General features: G+C 38.7%; 1 protein-coding gene across 2 annotated transcripts in view, besides 1 other annotated feature; it reads left to right on the top strand.

Moving 5' to 3' along the window:
- The window catches only part of THAP12 (THAP domain containing 12), a 31,177-nt gene extending 12,622 nt beyond the window's left edge, over positions 1-18,555 (top strand). The window contains exons 2-6 of one of the 2 annotated variants that reach the window (NR_130898.2): positions 2,539-2,659; positions 4,079-4,173; positions 7,448-7,555; positions 12,857-12,893; positions 15,717-18,555. Coding sequence is in view for 1 of the 2 variants with exons in the window: in NM_004705.4 (NP_004696.2) it covers positions 2,539-2,659; positions 7,448-7,555; positions 12,857-12,893; positions 15,717-17,647 (2,197 nt within the window). In the remaining variant the exon portion in view is untranslated. The remainder of the gene's footprint in view (positions 1-2,538; positions 2,660-4,078; positions 4,174-7,447; positions 7,556-12,856; positions 12,894-15,716) is intronic. The other variant, NM_004705.4, reaches the window with a different exon arrangement.
- Positions 1,923-2,424: an enhancer, noted in NCBI's record as "H3K4me1 hESC enhancer chr11:76077131-76077632 (GRCh37/hg19 assembly coordinates)". NCBI's record gives its function as "activates a minimal SCP1, AML or CMV promoter by ChIP-STARR-seq in naive H9 embryonic stem cells {active_cell/tissue: H9 hESC(naive)}" and the evidence as "EXISTENCE:reporter gene assay evidence [ECO:0000049][PMID:30033119]".
- Positions 18,556-19,549: the final 994 nt, after the last annotated feature.

Genomic DNA, 19,549 nt, shown 5'->3' with positions numbered 1-19,549 from the left:
TCTCAAGATTATCTTGGTTATCCCTGGTTCTTTAATGTTGTGTATAAAAAGTTTTAGAATAATTTGTCATTTCTTTCTCTTGCTCTCTCTCACAAACTTACTGGGCTTGTGATTATATTGAATTAGTAAATGGGTTTGGGGAGAATTGACATCTTTGGAATTTAGTGTGCCAGTTCATAAACTTGTGTATTTATTTAAGTTTGCTTTAAAAAGATTATTAGAGGTCTTGCACTTCTTTCACTAGATTTATTCTTAAGTAGTTCATATAGAAAGTCAGGTGTATTTGATTAGGCTCTCTGCCTGATGCCCATTCTGTTCTTGATTGTCTGAATAAGAGTTGCTGTTGATATCAGAAAGCTGTTTCAACTTAGTTCGGAGGTAATATGTACAGTATTGCTCTGTGTGGAAGGTCTCCAGAGATTTAAGAATTTAAAAAACAAACAACTGTAGCAGTATGGCAAATTATTTTATAGTGAGATCGTTTTTATACTTAATATTTGGATTTTGAAACATGAAATGTTTATAATCATAATGTACAACTGTGTAAAAGTGTGATTAAATTGTGAACATCTTAGGCATCGTTACTGTGAGCAGTAATACTTGTTGGTCAAATGAAATGCTGTACAATTTAGGTGTAGTTTTTTAAAAATCATAGCATTTTACCTTGATTTGACATTTTTAGAGTAGAGAGAATTAAGTGTCAGGGGCATGTATGTTGGGGGGAGGTGGACAATAGTGTTAAAACATAAAAAAAAAATACTGTGATTTAATTATAAAGGAATATGTTGGGCCGGGCGCAGTGGCTCGCGCCTGTAATCCTAGCACTTTGGGAGGCCAAGGTGGGCAGATCACCTGCGATCTGGAGTTCGAGACCAAGCTAGCCAACGTGCTGAAACCCCATCTGTACTATAAATACAAAACTTAGCTGAGTGTCGTGGTGCACGCCTATAATCTCAGCTCCTTGGGTGGCTGAGGCAGGAGAATTGCTTGAACCTGGGAGGCAGAGGTTGCAGTGAGCTGAGATCACACCACTGCACTCCACCCTGGGCTAAAGAGCAAGACACCATCTCAAAAAAATAATTTGTGATACTGTTTATCCACGGCAGAACTTTTATTCTTAGAAATTTGAGGAATGGGCCGGGCGCGGTGGCTCACGCCTGTAATCCCAGCACTTTGGGAGGCCGAGGCGGGCAGATCACCTGAGGTCGGGAGTTCGAGACCAGCCTGACCAACATGGAGAAACCCAGTCTCTACTAAAAATACAAAATTAGCCAGGCGTGGTAACGCATGCCTGTAATCCTAGCTACTTGGGAGGCTGAGACAGGAGAATCGCTTGAACCCGGGAAGCAGAGGTTGCAGTGAGCCAAGATCATGGCATTGCACTCCAACCTGGGCAACAAGAGCAAAACTCTGTCTCAAAAAAAAAAAAGAAAAGAAAAGAAATTTGAGGAAAGATCTAGTTGTGACTTTAGCAAGTTACTTAATATTTCTGTGCCTTCATCTGCACAAGGGGGATATTAATAGTACCCATCTTTGGAAAGGACTTAGAACGTGTCTGGCTCATAATAAGTGCTTATTATTAGCTTTTCTGAAAATATTTAAGCACCGAGAGGGCATGGACTTTGTCTTGTTCTCTGTCTTCAACACTTTTTGTGTACTAGATTGTGTAGTCACAGTCCCTGCATTCATGGAGCTTGCAATCTAGTCAGCACGTATTACTGTAGATAATAATTTGTGTTCATAGGAAGATAAACGAATACAGCCTTTATGCTTCCCTTAGAAACTAGTTATTTAAAGAACATCTAGTTGCTGATTTTTTTTTTTTTTTCCGAGACGGAGTCTGGCTCTGTCACCCAGGCTGGAGTGCAGTGGCGCAATCTCGGCTCACTGCAAGCTCCGCCTCCCGGGTTCACGCCATTCTCCTGCCTCAGCCTCCCGAGTAGCTGGGACTACAGGCGCTCGCCGCTTCGCCCAGCTAATTTTTTGTATTTTTAGTAGAGACGGGGTTTCACCGGGTTAGCCAGGATGGTCTCGATCTCCTGACCTCCTGATCTGCCTGCCTTGGCCTCCCAAAGTGCTGGGATTACAGGCGTGACAACACGCCCGGCCTAATTGCTGATTTTCTACAGTGACAGTGTTGTTTTGTATGCTTGTTGAAGTTGAAATCCTGAAGGGAATGTTAAGCTGTGAGCCTTGTGGCTGTGCATGCAGCTTTCTGCTTGTTCTGCTGATGGTTGAATCTTCTCTGATGTTTTGGGAGTTGGAAGATGCAGGTTTCAGTTCTAGTTCTGCTGATGATTTTGTACTTCCCTCCAAACAAGTTACTTCTTAACCTTGTCTGTAATTGAAATGTTGGTACTAAATGACTTCTAAGGTTTTTTCCAACTGTTATTTTGTTATTAATCAAATTCTCCAAATTATGTTCTCAGGGAGGGGAGCAGGAATCCGTTGTTATTAATGTATGTTTGCCTTAAAACTGAAGGCTGAAATTTAAATGCTGAGCTCATTTTCATAATTGTATTTTGGTTTTATTTATAGATGCCAGAAGTGGGTGGAGAACTGTAGGAGAGCAGACTTAGAAGATAAAACACCTGATCAGCTAAATAAACATTATCGATTATGTGCCAAACATTTTGAGACCTCTATGATCTGTAGAACTGTGAGTAATAGAAGAGCTTGGTGTCTCTCTGTTTGACTTGATTTCTCTCTCTCACTGTGTCTGGTTGGAAATGTAAGTATTTACCAATGTTGGAAGGTATTCCTATATCCTGCCACTTTAAGATGAAGACAGATTTGGAGCTGAAAAGTATCTGTTTTGTTCTTAAAATCCTGATTTTGCCGGGGGCCTATAATCCCAGCACTTTGGGAGGCCGAGGCAGGAAGACCACTTGAGCTCAGGAGTTTGAGACCAGCCTGGGCAACATGGCCAGATGCCGTCGCTACAGAAAATACCAAAAAAACTAGCGAGGTGTGGTGACGTATGCCTGTAGTCCCAGCTACTTGGGAAGCTGAGATGGGAGGATACTTGAGCCCATGACGTCGGGGCTGCAGAGAGTTGTGTTCATGCCACTACACTCCACTCTGGGCGACAGAGTGAGCGCTTGTCTGGAAAAAAAACTCAAAATGATTAAAACAAAACAAAACAAAACAAAACTCTTCGGTTCCTGGTGCCCCATTTCTACTCACCCAAGGTAACTACTTTTTTTTTTTTTTTTTTTAAAGACAGTCTTGCTCTGTCACCCAGGCTGGAGTGCAGTGGCGCTATCTTAGCTCACTGCAACTTCTGCCACCTCCCCCACCTCCTGGGCTCAAGCGATTCTCTCTCCTCAGCCTCCCAAGTAGCTGAGATTACAGGCATTGTGCCACCACGCCCAGCTAATTTTTGTACTTTTAGTAGAGGTGGGATTTCTCCATGTTGGCCAGGCTAGTCTCAATCTCCTGACCTCAAGTGACCCGCCCACCTCGGCCTCCCAAAGTGCTGGGATTACATGTATGAGCCTCCACACCCGGCTGAGGTAACCACTTTTAAATATTATTTAGTCTTCAGGAAAATTTTAGATGATTATAAAAGTATATGTTTATTTAAGGTAAAGTTGGTGTTTTTATTTGGAGCTCTTTAGAGCTTTTTTATGAGTAAAATTTTCATCTCGGAATGGAGCTCTTGTTTTCATGTTTTTGTATGTACTATTAGAACCAACTTTTAATTTTTATGTGGTAGATATAATGGTAAACAAATTATCCAGGTAATGTGGAAAAACATTTTCATCAATAATATGTAATTTCATATCAGGACCTACTGTTAACTGTGTGAGCTTGGCCAAGTCACTTCCCCTCTTTGGGCCCCAGTTCCTAATAAGGAGATTAGGCCAGGTAATTCCTGAGTTCTAAGATTTTTAACCCTCTGTGATTCTCTTGCTGTGATTTATAAAAGGCACAAATAAGGCAAATTTGATTGAAATGAAGCAGACTTGTTTCAGTGTAACTAATGTAACACCTCAGATATTGGGATAGACATAAACTTGATTCAAAGGTACACTATATGTTGTTATGCAGCAATTTATTTTGATATTTTTTTCAGATACATTTTGCAGAGGCATCAGAAAACTAAAGAATGATTGGGTTATTTTATTTCTCAAAATTAATTGAAGCAGATACTTGTGAAGTCATTGGGAGGTGAGCCAATTCCGGTTCAACAGTTTAATCACAAATATTTGAGGAATATTTTTGCCTTGATTTGTTAAAAGGGTAATAATGATCAACCAAAATAAAAGGTTTCATATGTTTAAAAGGCAAACTACTTTTATGTTCTTGACATGAAGTAAAAATATCCCAAATTATTTTAAATACATTTGCCATATGCATTTTTGCATTTTTATTTTAGTAATAAATATGGTCTCTTAATTAGATAATTCTAACCAGATTGTGAGAAATTTAAAGGATAGTTCATTCTTACATTCTTTAGTTAGAGAATAGAACAGAAAGATGAGCCAGGTTTGCTTTTTTAATTTCTAAATGATTCTTCAATCTTGAATAAATGAACGCAAATGTGAGAAAATGTTCTTTCTATACGTCTAGGAGATGTTGTTATTAAAAACTGGATTTCTGGGCTGGATATGGTAGCTCACACCTGTAATCCCAGCACTTTGGGAGGCTGAGGCGGGCAGATCATTTGCGGTCAGGAGTTTGAGACCAGCCTGGCCAACGGGGAAACCCCTTCTCTACTAAAAATACCAAACAAAACAAAACAAAAAAAATTTTGCTGGGCATGGCGGTGCACACGTGTAATCCCAGCTGCTCAGGAGGCTGAAACAGGAGAATCGCTTGAACCAAGGAGGCCGAGGTTGCAGTGAGCCAAGATTGTGCCACTGCACTTCAGCCTTGGTGACAGAGTGAGACTGTGTCTCAAAAACAAACAAACAAAAACCCCTGGATTTTCTGATATCTGTATCTAAATGTTTAAGAGTTTTGGCTTTATTAGTTTGGCATTGAAGATCTCATCAGTAGCAAGGCACAGTGGCACGTGTCTGTAGTCCCAGCTACTCAGGAGTCCAAGGCTGAAGGATTGCTTGAGCCTAGGAATTCAGAGCCAGCCTGGGCAACATGGTGGTGAGACCCTGTCTTTAAACAGACAAAAAAAAAAAGATTTCATCAGTAAACATTCATGACTACTGAATTTGGCCGGAGCCAAATATTTTATTATTTTGATGCTAGAGTAAGATTATTCTTTTATGCTCAAACCTTAATTCAGCAGTTAAAGATTAAATCTTGATACTGAGATACTTGGTATCATACGTAGTATTTGAATATTGTCTTTTTTGGCATGTGTCCTTATAGATATTTATATTTTTTATTATTATTATTTTTTTTTGAAATAGGGTCTCACTCTGTTGCCTAAGCTGGGGTGCAGTGGCGCAGCCATGGCTCACTGCAGCCCCGACCTCCCAGGCTCAAGCAATCCTCCCCGCTGAGCCTCCCAAGTAGCTGGAACTACAGGCACATGCCACCATACCTCGCTAATTTTTGTATTTTTTGTAGAGATGGAGTTTTGCCGTGTTACCTAAGCTGGTCTTGAACTCCTGGGGTCAAGCCGTCTACCCGGCCAAGGCCTCCCAAAGTGTTGGAATTACAGGTGTGAGCCAACATTCCTGGCCAAAATAAATATTTGTAAAATGTCATTTTTTTCATTCATACATTCTGTTTTCTGATCTATAATATCTTTGCTTTATTTGCAAATAGAAAATCAATTTGATTTGACTTTTAAAAATTTGTTAAAATGTTTTATTCCTCCCCTCCTTATTTAATAATTAGTAAGATATCAAGAATTGACTGTGTATGTGTTTTTGCTTATTTTGGGGACATTTGCTCGGTGTGAAAGATGGGGGAGCTTTGAATATAATAACTTGTACTCCCTTCAGTGATTGTGTCCCTAACCAATTCCTCATTCAGCCTCCCTAGTAGACTCAGGATCACGAGCCCAGCACTAGAAGTTGAGTGTTACTAGGAAGTCAGAGAATCATCTTTGTGTTTTCTATTATGGCATGGAATTGAACTAGAAAATATTGACTCTGAATAGAAATTCATCCCAAATGTGTTTAACAACTCTTTGGGTACAACCCAAGATAGTGTGTTCCATTTAGATACATGTTTTCCCTTCATGTCTTCCCAACCTCCCTTCCTTGGGTGAACAAATTTAGAAGTTGTTATTTTTGTTTGGCATGTTCTTTGAGCATGCTTAGATATTTTGAAATAATCACTGCTTCAAAGAAAGCTTATTTAAATGAAGTATGTCTTATCTTTATCATTCCAAATTCAGGAAGAAATTAAAGGCACTATTCTTTGGACTGTCTGAGGGGAGTGTAATAGCAGTTATTTATTACTGTCCCTCTTAATAAGCTTCTTGTCTTTTACTCAGCCTCCTCAGGGCTGGCAGTAGGACCGTTACCATCTAAGTATGCATCCAGCTTCTAGCCAAGTTGGATGAAATTAACAGGAAGTAGGGTAGAGTATGATCATTCTTTCATAAGATGATTAGGACTTGAAAGAGATACAGAAATACCTAGATTAGCATTTGCAAAAATGTGATTATGTATATCAGTATCACTTGTGGCGTGAGAGTTGGTTTCATGTGGCAGATGAATCAATTTTTATTTTAGAAGTTTTGTAGTATGTGTTAAAAACATGTTTAAAAACTTTTTTAAAAACATAAGATAACATCAGATCATTCTTCCTACAGTTTTATTACTTAAGACAGTGTTAACTAAAAAATGAGTAGATTGTGTAAAAATACAGATGGTAATATAACTGAAATGGCAAGCATTGTGATCATTAGTATGTGAATAATTTCATTTTAGGAAATGTTGATCTAGTTCAATACCAGAATTTTATTCAGAAAAAGAAACTGGGGCCCAAAAAGGGAAAGTAATTTAGCCAGGGTGTCTTAGTGAGTCACTCACTGGTAGAGTTTGGACTAGTTCCTAGGTCTCCTGGGTCCCAGTCCAATATTTTCACTGTGCCTTGATGCTTCTCAGTAATATTAGCAAAAGTGGAACATTAGGTAAAATAGGGATGCATTATTATGGAACATACAAGAGTGCAGATTATTTTGGGAGACTTGTACCTCCTGTAGATTTGGTGGGCTCATGGAAGGACAGTACAGATAAAGTAGCTGGGATGCTGAATTAGAAACAGATATGCAAAATGCAAGTACATTTTATATTTTATGCCTACCTTCAATTCAGTTTCTTAATTTATAATAGATTGCCAGAAGGGCAAATGCAGGCACAGTTGGAAATAGTAGACTGACCTGAACTGACATCAAATTCTGTAAGTCTCTATACTTTAGAGCTGGAGTTGAAGGAATATTGTGGAGGTCATTAACATAGAATTTTATTGATGTGTAATATATTTATAAGGACCATCTCTGAATTAACACAATTTTCTTTTTCAGAGTCCTTATAGGACAGTTCTTCGAGATAATGCAATACCAACAATATTTGATCTTACCAGTCATTTGAACAACCCACATAGTAGACACAGAAAACGAATAAAAGAACTGGTATGTCTATGTACTTTCAGCTTTCCCACCTTCCCCCATAATACTATGAAATCAAATACAGATGCATTTATGTTAAAATTAATCCAAATTACTCTCTATTTCAGAGGTAATGTAACGGGAAATAAATGTTATGGTTGTTAAATAGCCTAGATGTGAGATGATGAGTTTTAGTATTTAAATTGGAAAATCTCCCTCAGAGTTAGCCAGTTGATACTTGTTGACTTGGTCCAGAGTGTGCTGTTAATTACAGGCCACTAGCTCATTCCCTTCTGGAGAAGAAGGAAAAAGCTACCTTTTCTTTCATAGTAAGGAAAATAGAGCTGAGGTGTTTCCAGAGTTCAGCACAAAGGAATAAAGAAAGGGAAAGTGTAAAAGTGGAGACATGGAATGTTTTAAAGATAAGGTTTCTATCACTATTAAATATGTACAGGGTTTAGAAAAAAACACTGAAATTTCTGTATATGGCATAATTTACACATATTCTTATGTTCCTTGGATATCCTTCAGTTCTGAGGATTGACACCTATCTGTATTTTGTTGACCTTAGGTGAACAGAAGTACAGTAACTCCTTAGTCCATGGCTTTTTGTCATCATTGCCACTAGCAAGGCCCTTATTTTGCTTTATTATTTTTCCTTCTTCACCCACTATTACCATTACCATTCCTTTCCCTACCAGTTGGTGTCCATGCTAGTGTATTTAATATATGTCCTATCAGTCCACCTACTGTGTGCTTTTTAAAGATAGCATTTATCTAATTTTCCTTATTCTATGCTTACCTTTCTATTTAGATATTTTATCCATTTGGAGTTAGTATGTATGATGTACAGTAGGGATCTATAATAACTTTTTCTCCTTATAGAGAAACTGTTTTCCCAACATGGTCTGTTAGTTCTTCCTTTCGTCCACTGGTATAAAATGCCACCTCTGTTATATAACAAGTTTACATGAGGCTGTTTTGGGGAGTTCTGTTCCATTTCACTGTATTATTTGTTTGCAACTATACCACACTGTTTTATTACCATGGCATTGTAATATATCTTACTTTCAAATAAGGTGATTGTTTAACTCTTCTTTTTCTTAACTATTTGTGGACCTTTATTCTTCCCTATGGATTTTTTTTTTCCCCCCCGAGACAGAGTCTCACTCTCACCCAGGCTGGAGTGCAGTGGCATGATCTTGGCTCACTGCAACCTCCACCTCCCGGTTTCCAGCAATTCTCCTGCCTCAGCCTTCCAAGTAGCTGAGACTACAGGCGCTCACCACCACGCCTGACTAATTTTGTATTTTTAGTAGAGACGCGGTTTTGCCATGTCAGCCAGGCTGGTCTCCAACTCCTGACCTCAAGTGATCCGCCCACCTCGGCCTCCCAAAGTGCTGGGATTATAGACGTGAGCCACCGGCCTCCTCCATATGAATTTGAAAGTCCTTTTGTCAAGTTCTCCTAGAACTTCTTTTGGGATTTTCATTATAATTGCTTTGAATTGACATCTTTACAATATTAGCTATTGTAAATTTATTACTAGTTTAGTATTACTGTTAGTAAACGAATATTACTAGTTTACTGTTACAGTATAAACTATTGTAAAGTATTAACTAGTTCTATCCATGAAGAGAAAAAAAATCCCATAAAATACCTATCAAATAACAGCAATCATTGACAAAACTAAATACTAGTTTTTTGAAAAGAATATTAGAATACTTTTAGGAGTACAGAAAACGAAAAATTTTGAGAGCTTTTGTTACAGTTGTTTAAATGAGAATGTATGCATTCTTAGATCACTTCTTAAATACATTATGGTTCTTACTGGTATAGATGATATATTCTGGTTGAAATTGTTTCCAGCACTTTTGAAGAACTTCTTTTTAAGTTAATCCTAGTAAGTCTTCTGAGTTTTTCCTCTGTTACTGATTGTATCATCTGCAAATAAGGAGAAATTTGTCTCTTTCAGTTCTTATTATTTTAATTTTTTCTGTTGCCTGTCTTGTTTAGTCAAGATCCCTGGTACTATGTTGAACAATTCTAGTAATGTCATACTTGCCTTGCCCCATTAAGTATAATGTTTGCTGTTGGTATTGTTAGATAGTTTTTATCAAGTTAAGGAAATTCCCTTCTACTCCCATATTCAGAGTTTTGTTGTTTTTTTTTAAGATGGGGTCTCACTCTGTCACCCAAGCCAGAGTGCAGTGGGGCAGACACTGCTCACTGCAGCCTCCACCTCCTGGGCTGAAGCAATCCTCTTACCTCAGCCTCCCAAGTAGCTGGGACCACAGGTGTGTGCCACCATGCCTGGCTTATTTTTTTGTATTTTTTTTTATAGATGGAGTCATGCCATGTTGCCCAGTTTGGTCTCAAACTCCTGGGCTCAAGCAGTCCTCTTACCTCAGCTCCCCAAAGTGCTGGGATTACAATAGTGAGCCACCACGCCTGACCTATATTCTGTTTTTATATTTAACTTATCACATGCTTTCATTGCATGTATTTAATAGACAAGTTCATTTTTTTCATTCTTTAATGCAATAAGTAATACTAATGGATTTTCTGTGAACCATCTGCATTTCTGTAATGAACTCTAGTTGACTGCAATATGTCTATTTGCTTTTATATACCATTGGATTCAATTGGTCAATATTTTATTTAGGATTTTACATTTGTGAATCTTGGTCTGTAGCCTTCTTTTCATGTACTCTTATTACCCAGTTATAATATCAAGGTTCTATTGGCCTCATAAAATAAGTTGGGTATCTTTTTTTTTTTTTTCTCCTAGAAAAATTTGTGTAGGTAGATGTTATCTGCTCTTGAAAGTAAGGTAGAACTTGGTAAAACCATTAGATGGCTTGCGGTGGATGAGGGAAAGTTTTGATTGCCATTCTGCTATCTTTATTGGTTTTCTTTCTTTCTTGTGTTTTGTTAATGTTTCTAAAAGTTTATGAAACTTTAATAATCTTTTCAAAGAACCAGTAGTTTTGTCAGTGATTGTTGTACTTATGAACTATTTTATTGGTTTTTCTTTGATTAGGGTGATTTATTTTTTGACTCTTTTTCTAGCTTCTTGAATGTTTAGCTCATATTTATGTGTATTCAAAGCTATAAAAGTCTCTCTTAGGTCCATTTTAGCTATACCCTACAACTTTAGACATATAGTGTTGTCATGTCTGGCTGTAGGTATTTTGTAATTTCTCTATTTTGTTAACATAGGATTGTTTTTCTTAGTTTCCAGATGTGGAATTATTTTTAATTGCTATATGATATTTTAAATTTTAAATGTTATTAAGAGATACGTAGAGGATACATATAGTCTATGTGATGTTGATTCTTTCTGATTTTTTTGCATCCATTATTGCTATTCAAGTCTGTGCCAGCCTGATTCTTGTTCCTTTTTAGGTAATCTTCTTTTCTCCCTCAAAGCTTTTTAGAAGGTTTCTTTATATTTGACATTTTAAAATTTGCTAACCTGTATCTAGATGTGAGTTTTTTTTTTATGTACCTTAATTTGTCATCTTACAACTGAGGACTTACACCTTAAATTCTGAGAAATCCTTAGTTTTTATTTTTCTTTATGCATTTTCCCCTCTATTTGTTTATTTCTATTTTCCTGGGACTTAGATGAATACTGACACTTACATTACAGTCCTCCATATCAGCTTTCTTCTTGGTGTCCATGGAGGACTGATTCCAGGAGCTTCCCTCAGAGAGCAAAATCCACAGATACTTGATTCCCTTATATACAGTGGTGTAGTATTTGCATATAACTTACACACATCCTCCCGTGACTTTAAATCATTTATAATACCTAATACAATGTAGTGCTATGTAAATAGTTGTTCTGTTACATTGTTTAGAGAATAATGACAAGAACAAAAATCTGTGTGTTCAGTATAGACACAACCATCCTTTTCTTTTTTTTTTTTTTGAGACAGAGTCTCGCTCTTGTTGCCCAGGCTGGAGTGCAAGGGTGCGATCTCAGCTCACCGCAACCTCCGCCTCCCGGGTTCAAGCAATTCTCCTGCCTCAGCCCCCCGAGTAGCTGGGATCACAGGCATGTGCCACCACGCCCGGCTCTTTTTGTATTTTTAGTAGAGACGAGGGTTCTCCATGTTGGTCAGGCTGGTCTTGAACTCCCGACCTCAGGTGATCCTCCCGCCTCAGCTTCCCAAAGTGCTGGGATTACAGACGTGAGCCACCATGCCCGGCACAACCATCCATTTTCAAATAATACCTAGATTATTTATGATACTTAATACATTTATGTGTTTGTAACACCTACTACAATGTAAATGCTATGTAAATAGTTATGCTACGTTATGTAGGGGAAGAATGAGAAAAAAAGTCTGTACATGTTCAAGATAGATACAACCATCCATTTTTTCCCCAGCATTTTCAATGCATGGTTGGTTAAATCCATAGATATGAAGTGTAATATGTATCAGGATGAGGAGCTCAATCACTTGCTGTCCTGTAGCTATCATTTCCCTGTAGTCTGTCCCTCAGAGAGCCTCACATATCTCACAGCAGGCATACTCTTCCTGACCCACCATCCTTATAAACGTGCAGTCCGTAGGATAAGGAGGGGATGTCCAGGTTGACCAGCCTGCTGATGTTTCTTGTTATCAGCACCATGTCCAGTGCTGCCCAACAGGCATCCTGCTGTCTTCAGCTGTCACTGGCATTGCTGCTTTTCTGCCACAGAAAGTAACAGGTGGCTCATGATTTAAGCATTGTAGAGGGTTGGAAGGAAAGTAAAGGATGCAGCTGGAAAGTTCTTCCTTTGTCTAACCCTATTGGTGCCACTTGGCCTACTATGCTCTGTGTATGCTCTGTGTATCTCTTCCATGCTGGTACTTTCACCTTCTGCTTCTCAGGGATTTCTCATCACTTTTGTGTTGAGTCCTGAGATTCAGCAACCTCCTTCTTATGGGACATCTCCAGGGTTAAATTGGGAAGTAAGATGATTTGTGTCCTCTTGAATTTAACTCCAAGTGCCATGGTGTATTTTTGTGCCTTTCATTAGCCAGTAAACACTTATAACCCAAAGTTACGATGATTTAGGTAGAAAATAAGCAAAATGATGTATTCTTTTTTCCCTAAGACTTTGTTATAACCTTGGAGTCATTAACAGCTTATTCTGGTTTTCTCATTGTCTGTTTGTTTGAAGAATGTGTACTATATAAAGAATTTATGCTCTTGAAAGAATTAAATTGACTCAGAATAGGCATTTGTATTTGTGAGTCTAAGATGATACACTAGAGGTCAGTTTTTTAAAGATGATTTGTTTTTTTCTTTTTTTTTCTTGACATTTAGAGTGAAGATGAAATCAGGACACTGAAACAGAAAAAAAGTAAGTGATAGTGTTAATGACTCAACTTCTGAATGCCTTTTAAAAAGGCCTTGACCTGGTAAGGACAAATAAATATGTTCTGTGTTGAAAACCTACCTTGAGAATGAATGTAGGAGTGTGCTCAATTTTGTCCTGTGTTTTGGAATTATCTATGAGACTAAAGTCTAATTTTAGTTTGTCTTTATTGAGTGCTGCAATGCCACACACTATGCTATATGCAGGCCTCATGGAGGTGACGCCTCCTCTCTCAGTGTGGTAGGGGTGGCAGGCACACAGTGCTCCATTGTAGGGAAGGAAGGGCAACAGTAGAGGCATGCACTGAATCTCTTTTTCTGTCCACCCAGTTGTGGTATGTAATAAATTCTTTGTAAATGTTTAAGGACTAAATGCTGTGGGGGCACATAGTGCCATTGTGAGTAGTGGTCACAACAGCCTTTCTGGAGGTGCTGATGTCCGAATTATGTCACCAAAGGACGAGGGCTAGAAGCTGTTTTTCTTCTTGTCAGTTATTAGTTACTCCTCCTCCTCTGTTTCTTCCTCCTATTGCTGTTATTATTAACGTAGCATTTTATTGAGTGCTTACTGATGCCAAATCATTGTTCTAAGTGCTTTACTTGTATTAATTAATTTAATTCTCACAATAGCCGTGAGATAAGTACTGTTATTTCCCTCTTTATGGATGAGGAGATATGGACTTGGGCAAAGAGAGGGAAAGGTATTCTGTGCACGAAACAGGGTGCTGTTTTGGGGAACTACACTCATTTTAGTGTTGTTAAAGTTTGTGATAACCCATTATGGTTAGAAAATAGCCTAGAGAGGACCCCAGAGGCCAGAACTTGCAGACTTGTGGGCTATTAGCAATAGGGAACCACTGAGGGGTTTATAAGTAGGTGATAACAGGGACCTGATTTCCATGGTACATAGAGTACTCTGTTGGATTAGAAAAGGTAACACTGGAGGCATGGAGGCTAGTTAGACTGTCAACTGACCAAATAAAAGTTGAAAGGCCTTGAATTAAGGCAATGGTAGAGAGAGTAAAGGGAATAGATTCAAGGAACTTAAGAAATTTGTATACCTATGACACCTAAAAAGATGTCCAAAAGAAGAGGGACTTGACTTTTCAGTTTGAACTCTTTGCTCTTTAATGAACTTCTTTTTGAAAAAAATAAAAGCAAGAGAATTAGTACTTGTTAATTGGAAGTGGAGAAATAATGGAGGAGAGAGGGAGGGAGCCAGACAGGCAGGCGTCCAGGATAACCTCTTGCTTTCTGGCTTGGGAAGCCTCCCTAGTATAGAACCACTGCTGTGTCACATATAATGAATAGCAGTGTCATCTGATTTGAGGAGGGGTGAAGGAAGGATGCTCCCTGCATTTTTCTGAACCCTTATGAAGCTCTGAAGCATGGCTCACACAGGCTCCGGTCAGACTAGATTTCCCTTTGTACTTGGGCAGCCTGCTTCCCTCTTCTACCTTAGTGCTTGTGCTAGAATAATTCTCACCAACTGAAATGCCCTCCTTGTTCATGTCCCCCTTATTTATCCTTGTCATCAAATGCAACTTCTGAATTTTTGTTTCTCCCCACCGCCCTCCATAGTCTTTTTTCTTTTTGAGACGGAGTCTCACTCTGTTGCCCAGGCTGGAGTGCAGTGGCACGATCTCGGCTAACTATAACCTCTGCCTCCTGGGTTCAGGCAATTGTCCTGCCTCAGCCTCCCGAGTAGCTGGGACTACAGGCATGTGCCACCACGCCCAGCTAATTTTTGTATTTTTAGTAGAGATGGGGTTTCACCATATTGGCCAGGCTGGTCTCAAACTCCTGACCTCGTGATCCACCCACCTCAGCCTCCCAAAGTGCTGGGATTACAGGCGTAAGCCACTGCACCCCCGGCCCTAGTCTTATGTTCTAAGAACTAGGTTTTAACTGTGCCTCCTCAGATTTGGATTATTTTCCTGCAGACACCACTGACCTGTATGACTATGGGCAGGGCATTTAGCCTGTAGGGCCTCAGTTTTCCTATCCCCTGTGAAGAGATTAGGCTAAGATGTGTGATATTCTAATACTAGCCCTAAGAGTTACATTAATCTCCTTTATATTATACTGGTTTGTACAGCTGTCCCATCTCCCATATAAATGTGTGGCATAATGGTTTGATAAAAACAGCATCAGCATGGATCTTGGAGCCAGACGCACTTGGATTTCAACTTTACTTCCATTCTTCTAACTGTATTTGTGATCTTGGGCAAGTTACTTAGTGTCCTTGTTTGTCAAGTGGGGCCGATACCACCTGCCTGAACAGAGAGTAATGTGATGCATATAAAATACTAAGCACAGTACCTTAGTAATTAGTTCTGTCCCACTTTGTTTTTCTGAGGGCATGGACTGTCATTCATTACATATGTGGAAAGTCTTGTTAAGTGTATTTTAAAAATTAGGCCGGATGTGGTATCTCACACCTTTAATCCTTGTACTTTGGAGCTGAGGTGGGAGGATCACTTGAGGCCAGGAGTTCAAGACCAGCCTGGGCAACATAGTGAGACTCCCCGCTCTACTTCTTAAAAAAAAAAAATTATTCCTATCTTGTAACAGCATTTACATCTAGGATTAAAATATATCTCTTTACACTGTTTGTCTCTCCCACTAGGATGTGTCTTATCTTAGTGTCTTATTTTAATCTCTGTCCTAGTCTGTGGTCTAGTAAATACCCTATGAATATTGAATGAATGAGTTTGTGGATTTTAAATATTTAACCAAAGATGTAATATTTTTTGTTGTGTATGGTTTTTCATGAGCCTGTTTGTAAAATTAATTCTTTGTTTTCCAGTTGATGAAACTTCTGAGCAGGAACAAAAACATAAAGAAACCAACAATAGCAATGCTCAGAACCCCAGCGAAGAAGAGGGTGAAGGGCAAGATGAGGACATTTTACCTCTAACCCTTGAAGAGAAGGAAAACAAAGAATACCTAAAATCTCTATTTGAAATCTTGATTCTGATGGGAAAGCAAAACATACCTCTGGATGGACATGAGGCTGATGAAATCCCAGAAGGTCTCTTTACTCCAGATAACTTTCAGGCACTGCTGGAGTGTCGGATAAATTCTGGTGAAGAGGTTCTGAGAAAGCGGTTTGAGACAACAGCAGTTAACACGTTGTTTTGTTCAAAAACACAGCAGAGGCAGATGCTAGAGATCTGTGAGAGCTGTATTCGAGAAGAAACTCTCAGGGAAGTGAGAGACTCACACTTCTTTTCCATTATCACTGACGATGTAGTGGACATAGCAGGGGAAGAGCACCTACCTGTGTTGGTGAGGTTTGTTGATGAATCTCATAACCTAAGAGAGGAATTTATAGGCTTCCTGCCTTATGAAGCCGATGCAGAAATTTTGGCTGTGAAATTTCACACTATGATAACTGAGAAGTGGGGATTAAATATGGAGTATTGTCGTGGCCAGGCTTACATTGTCTCTAGTGGATTTTCTTCCAAAATGAAAGTTGTTGCTTCTAGACTTTTAGAGAAATATCCCCAAGCTATCTACACACTCTGCTCTTCCTGTGCCTTAAATATGTGGTTGGCAAAATCAGTACCTGTTATGGGAGTATCTGTTGCATTAGGAACAATTGAGGAAGTTTGTTCTTTTTTCCATCGATCACCACAACTGCTTTTAGAACTTGACAACGTAATTTCTGTTCTTTTTCAGAACAGTAAAGAAAGGGGTAAAGAACTGAAGGAAATCTGCCATTCTCAGTGGACAGGCAGGCATGATGCTTTTGAAATTTTAGTGGAACTCCTGCAAGCACTTGTTTTATGTTTAGATGGTATAAATAGTGACACAAATATTAGATGGAATAACTATATAGCTGGCCGAGCATTTGTACTCTGCAGTGCAGTGTCAGATTTTGATTTCATTGTTACTATTGTTGTTCTTAAAAATGTCCTATCTTTTACAAGAGCCTTTGGGAAAAACCTCCAGGGGCAAACCTCTGATGTCTTCTTTGCGGCCGGTAGCTTGACTGCAGTACTGCATTCACTCAACGAAGTGATGGAAAATATTGAAGTTTATCATGAATTTTGGTTTGAGGAAGCCACAAATTTGGCAACCAAACTTGATATTCAAATGAAACTCCCTGGGAAATTCCGCAGAGCTCACCAGGGTAACTTGGAATCTCAGCTAACCTCTGAGAGTTACTATAAAGAAACCCTAAGTGTCCCAACAGTGGAGCACATTATTCAGGAACTTAAAGATATATTCTCAGAACAGCACCTCAAAGCTCTTAAATGCTTATCTCTGGTACCCTCAGTCATGGGACAACTCAAATTCAATACGTCGGAGGAACACCATGCTGACATGTATAGAAGTGACTTACCCAATCCTGACACGCTGTCAGCTGAGCTTCATTGTTGGAGAATCAAATGGAAACACAGGGGGAAAGATATAGAGCTTCCGTCCACCATCTATGAAGCCCTCCACCTGCCTGACATCAAGTTTTTTCCTAATGTGTATGCATTGCTGAAGGTCCTGTGTATTCTTCCTGTGATGAAGGTTGAGAATGAGCGGTATGAAAATGGACGAAAGCGTCTTAAAGCATATTTGAGGAACACTTTGACAGACCAAAGGTCAAGTAACTTGGCTTTGCTTAACATAAATTTTGATATAAAACACGACCTGGATTTAATGGTGGACACATATATTAAACTCTATACAAGTAAGTCAGAGCTTCCTACAGATAATTCCGAAACTGTGGAAAATACCTAAGAGACTTTTAAAAATAGGCTTTCTTATATTTGATATTTGGAAGAAAAAGCCGTAAGGTGTATGTAGACCACTTAATCACTAAATATCTTTGCCTATAGGACTCCATTGAATACATTAGCCATTGATAATCTACCTGTTTAAATGGCCCCTGTTTGAACTCTCAAGCTTTGAAGACCTACCTGTTCTTCCAGAAGAGAACGTTGAAAGTGCCATGTTTCCTTTTGCGTGATCTCTGTTGATGGCACTCTGGAATTGTTTCAGTTAAGTCATTTTAGACATAGCATTTATTATCACTGTGGATCTCTACTTGTTGGGTGTTATGAATTCTTTGAAGAAATATATTTTGAAGAGGTGTGGGAGGAAGGAATACATTTTATAAAATGTTGTAGTGAAGCCCACAATTGACCTTTGACTAATAGGAGTTTTAAGTATGTTAAAAATCTATACTGGACAGTTACAAGAAATTACCGGAGAAAAGCTTGTGAGCTCACCAAACAAGGATTTCAGTGTAGATTTTGTCTTTCTTGAACTTAAAGAAACAAATGACAAAGTTTGAATGGAAAAGCCTGCTGTTGTTCCACATCTCGTTGCTGTTTACATTCCTTTGTGGAGCCTACATCTTCCTAAGCTTTTTAGCAGGTATATGTTGAACACTTCTGTTTCATGGTTGAGACAGAATCAGAGGCCATGGATACTGACAACTGATTTGTCTGTTTTTTTTCTCTGTCTTTTTCCATGACTCTTATATACTGCCTCATCTTGATTTATAAGCAAAACCTGGAAAACCTACAAAATAAGTGTTGTGGTTTATCTAGAAAAATATGGAAAATATTGCTGTTATTTTTGGTGAAGAAAATCAATTTTGTATAGTTTATTTCAATCTAAATAAAATGTGAATTTTGTTTAAAGCTTAGGCACATTATTTTTTGTGGGGTCAAAACATTCTTGTGTAAATTCTCTTAAACATTTGATAAACAGCTTCACAATTCAAGGTGAGTCTTTTGTATGTGGTTTACTACTTGGGTTACAGAAAAAAAACAATTAAGAAAGTGTTAAATGTAAGATTCACCCAACTAGGTTTTTTTTTTTTTTTAAATGTACTGTGTGGGCCCTGATGTAAATTGTCAGAGTTTGTCTTATTGTTGCTGGCTAAAATGAATGCAGAGGTGTTAATGAATTATTTTATGTTGGGAGTAAGTGTTACTTGAGCTTCAGAAACCAGAGTGGTGTGTATTTGCTGAACTGCTGAGAATGATAGCCCACAGTCCATTTCTCTGTCCTAGGAAAGCCCACAGATGTGTCAAATCAGGACACATTATGCATGCGGCTTATCAAAAAGATAACAAGAGTTTATCTTATAGCCAGGGCTCTAAGAGATGTCTCTGTCCTTGGCAGAAAGAACTGATCAAGTTCATGATGGCAGGATGACAATGAAGGAAACACAAAGCTGGTGTTTCAATACATTCATCCTGTTCTTAGGGAGCTTAAGAGTGGTGTGGGGCGGAAAAAAAGAGTGGTGTGACCTTGACAGATTACTTAACCTGGGTCAGTTTCCTCAGCTGTACAACCTACCTTAAGGTTGTGCTATGAGGGTTAATTAATTTATCATCGGTGACCTATTGCTGCTTAACATTCCCCCCAAATTTAATGGTTTAAAGAAATACTTTACCATTTCTCACAGTTCTGTGGGTTGGTTGAGTGGTTCTTCTCCTAGTCTCATCTGGGCTGTCTGCATTCAGCTGGGAGGGTGACTGGGGACTGAATATGATGACTGGGCCTCTCCATGTGGTCTTTTATCTTGCGCTATGTAATGGTGGTCTCAAGAGTACCAGGAAAGCAAAGGCAGTGGCTTCAAAGCCTGGACTCAGTAATTCAGAGCATCACTTTCACCACATTCTTTTA

The sequence above is a fragment of the Homo sapiens genome, chromosome 11 (assembly GCF_000001405.40).
Source record: "Homo sapiens chromosome 11, GRCh38.p14 Primary Assembly".
Lineage (NCBI taxonomy): Eukaryota > Metazoa > Chordata > Mammalia > Primates > Hominidae > Homo > Homo sapiens.
This window is presented reverse-complemented; position numbering and strand designations above follow the sequence as displayed.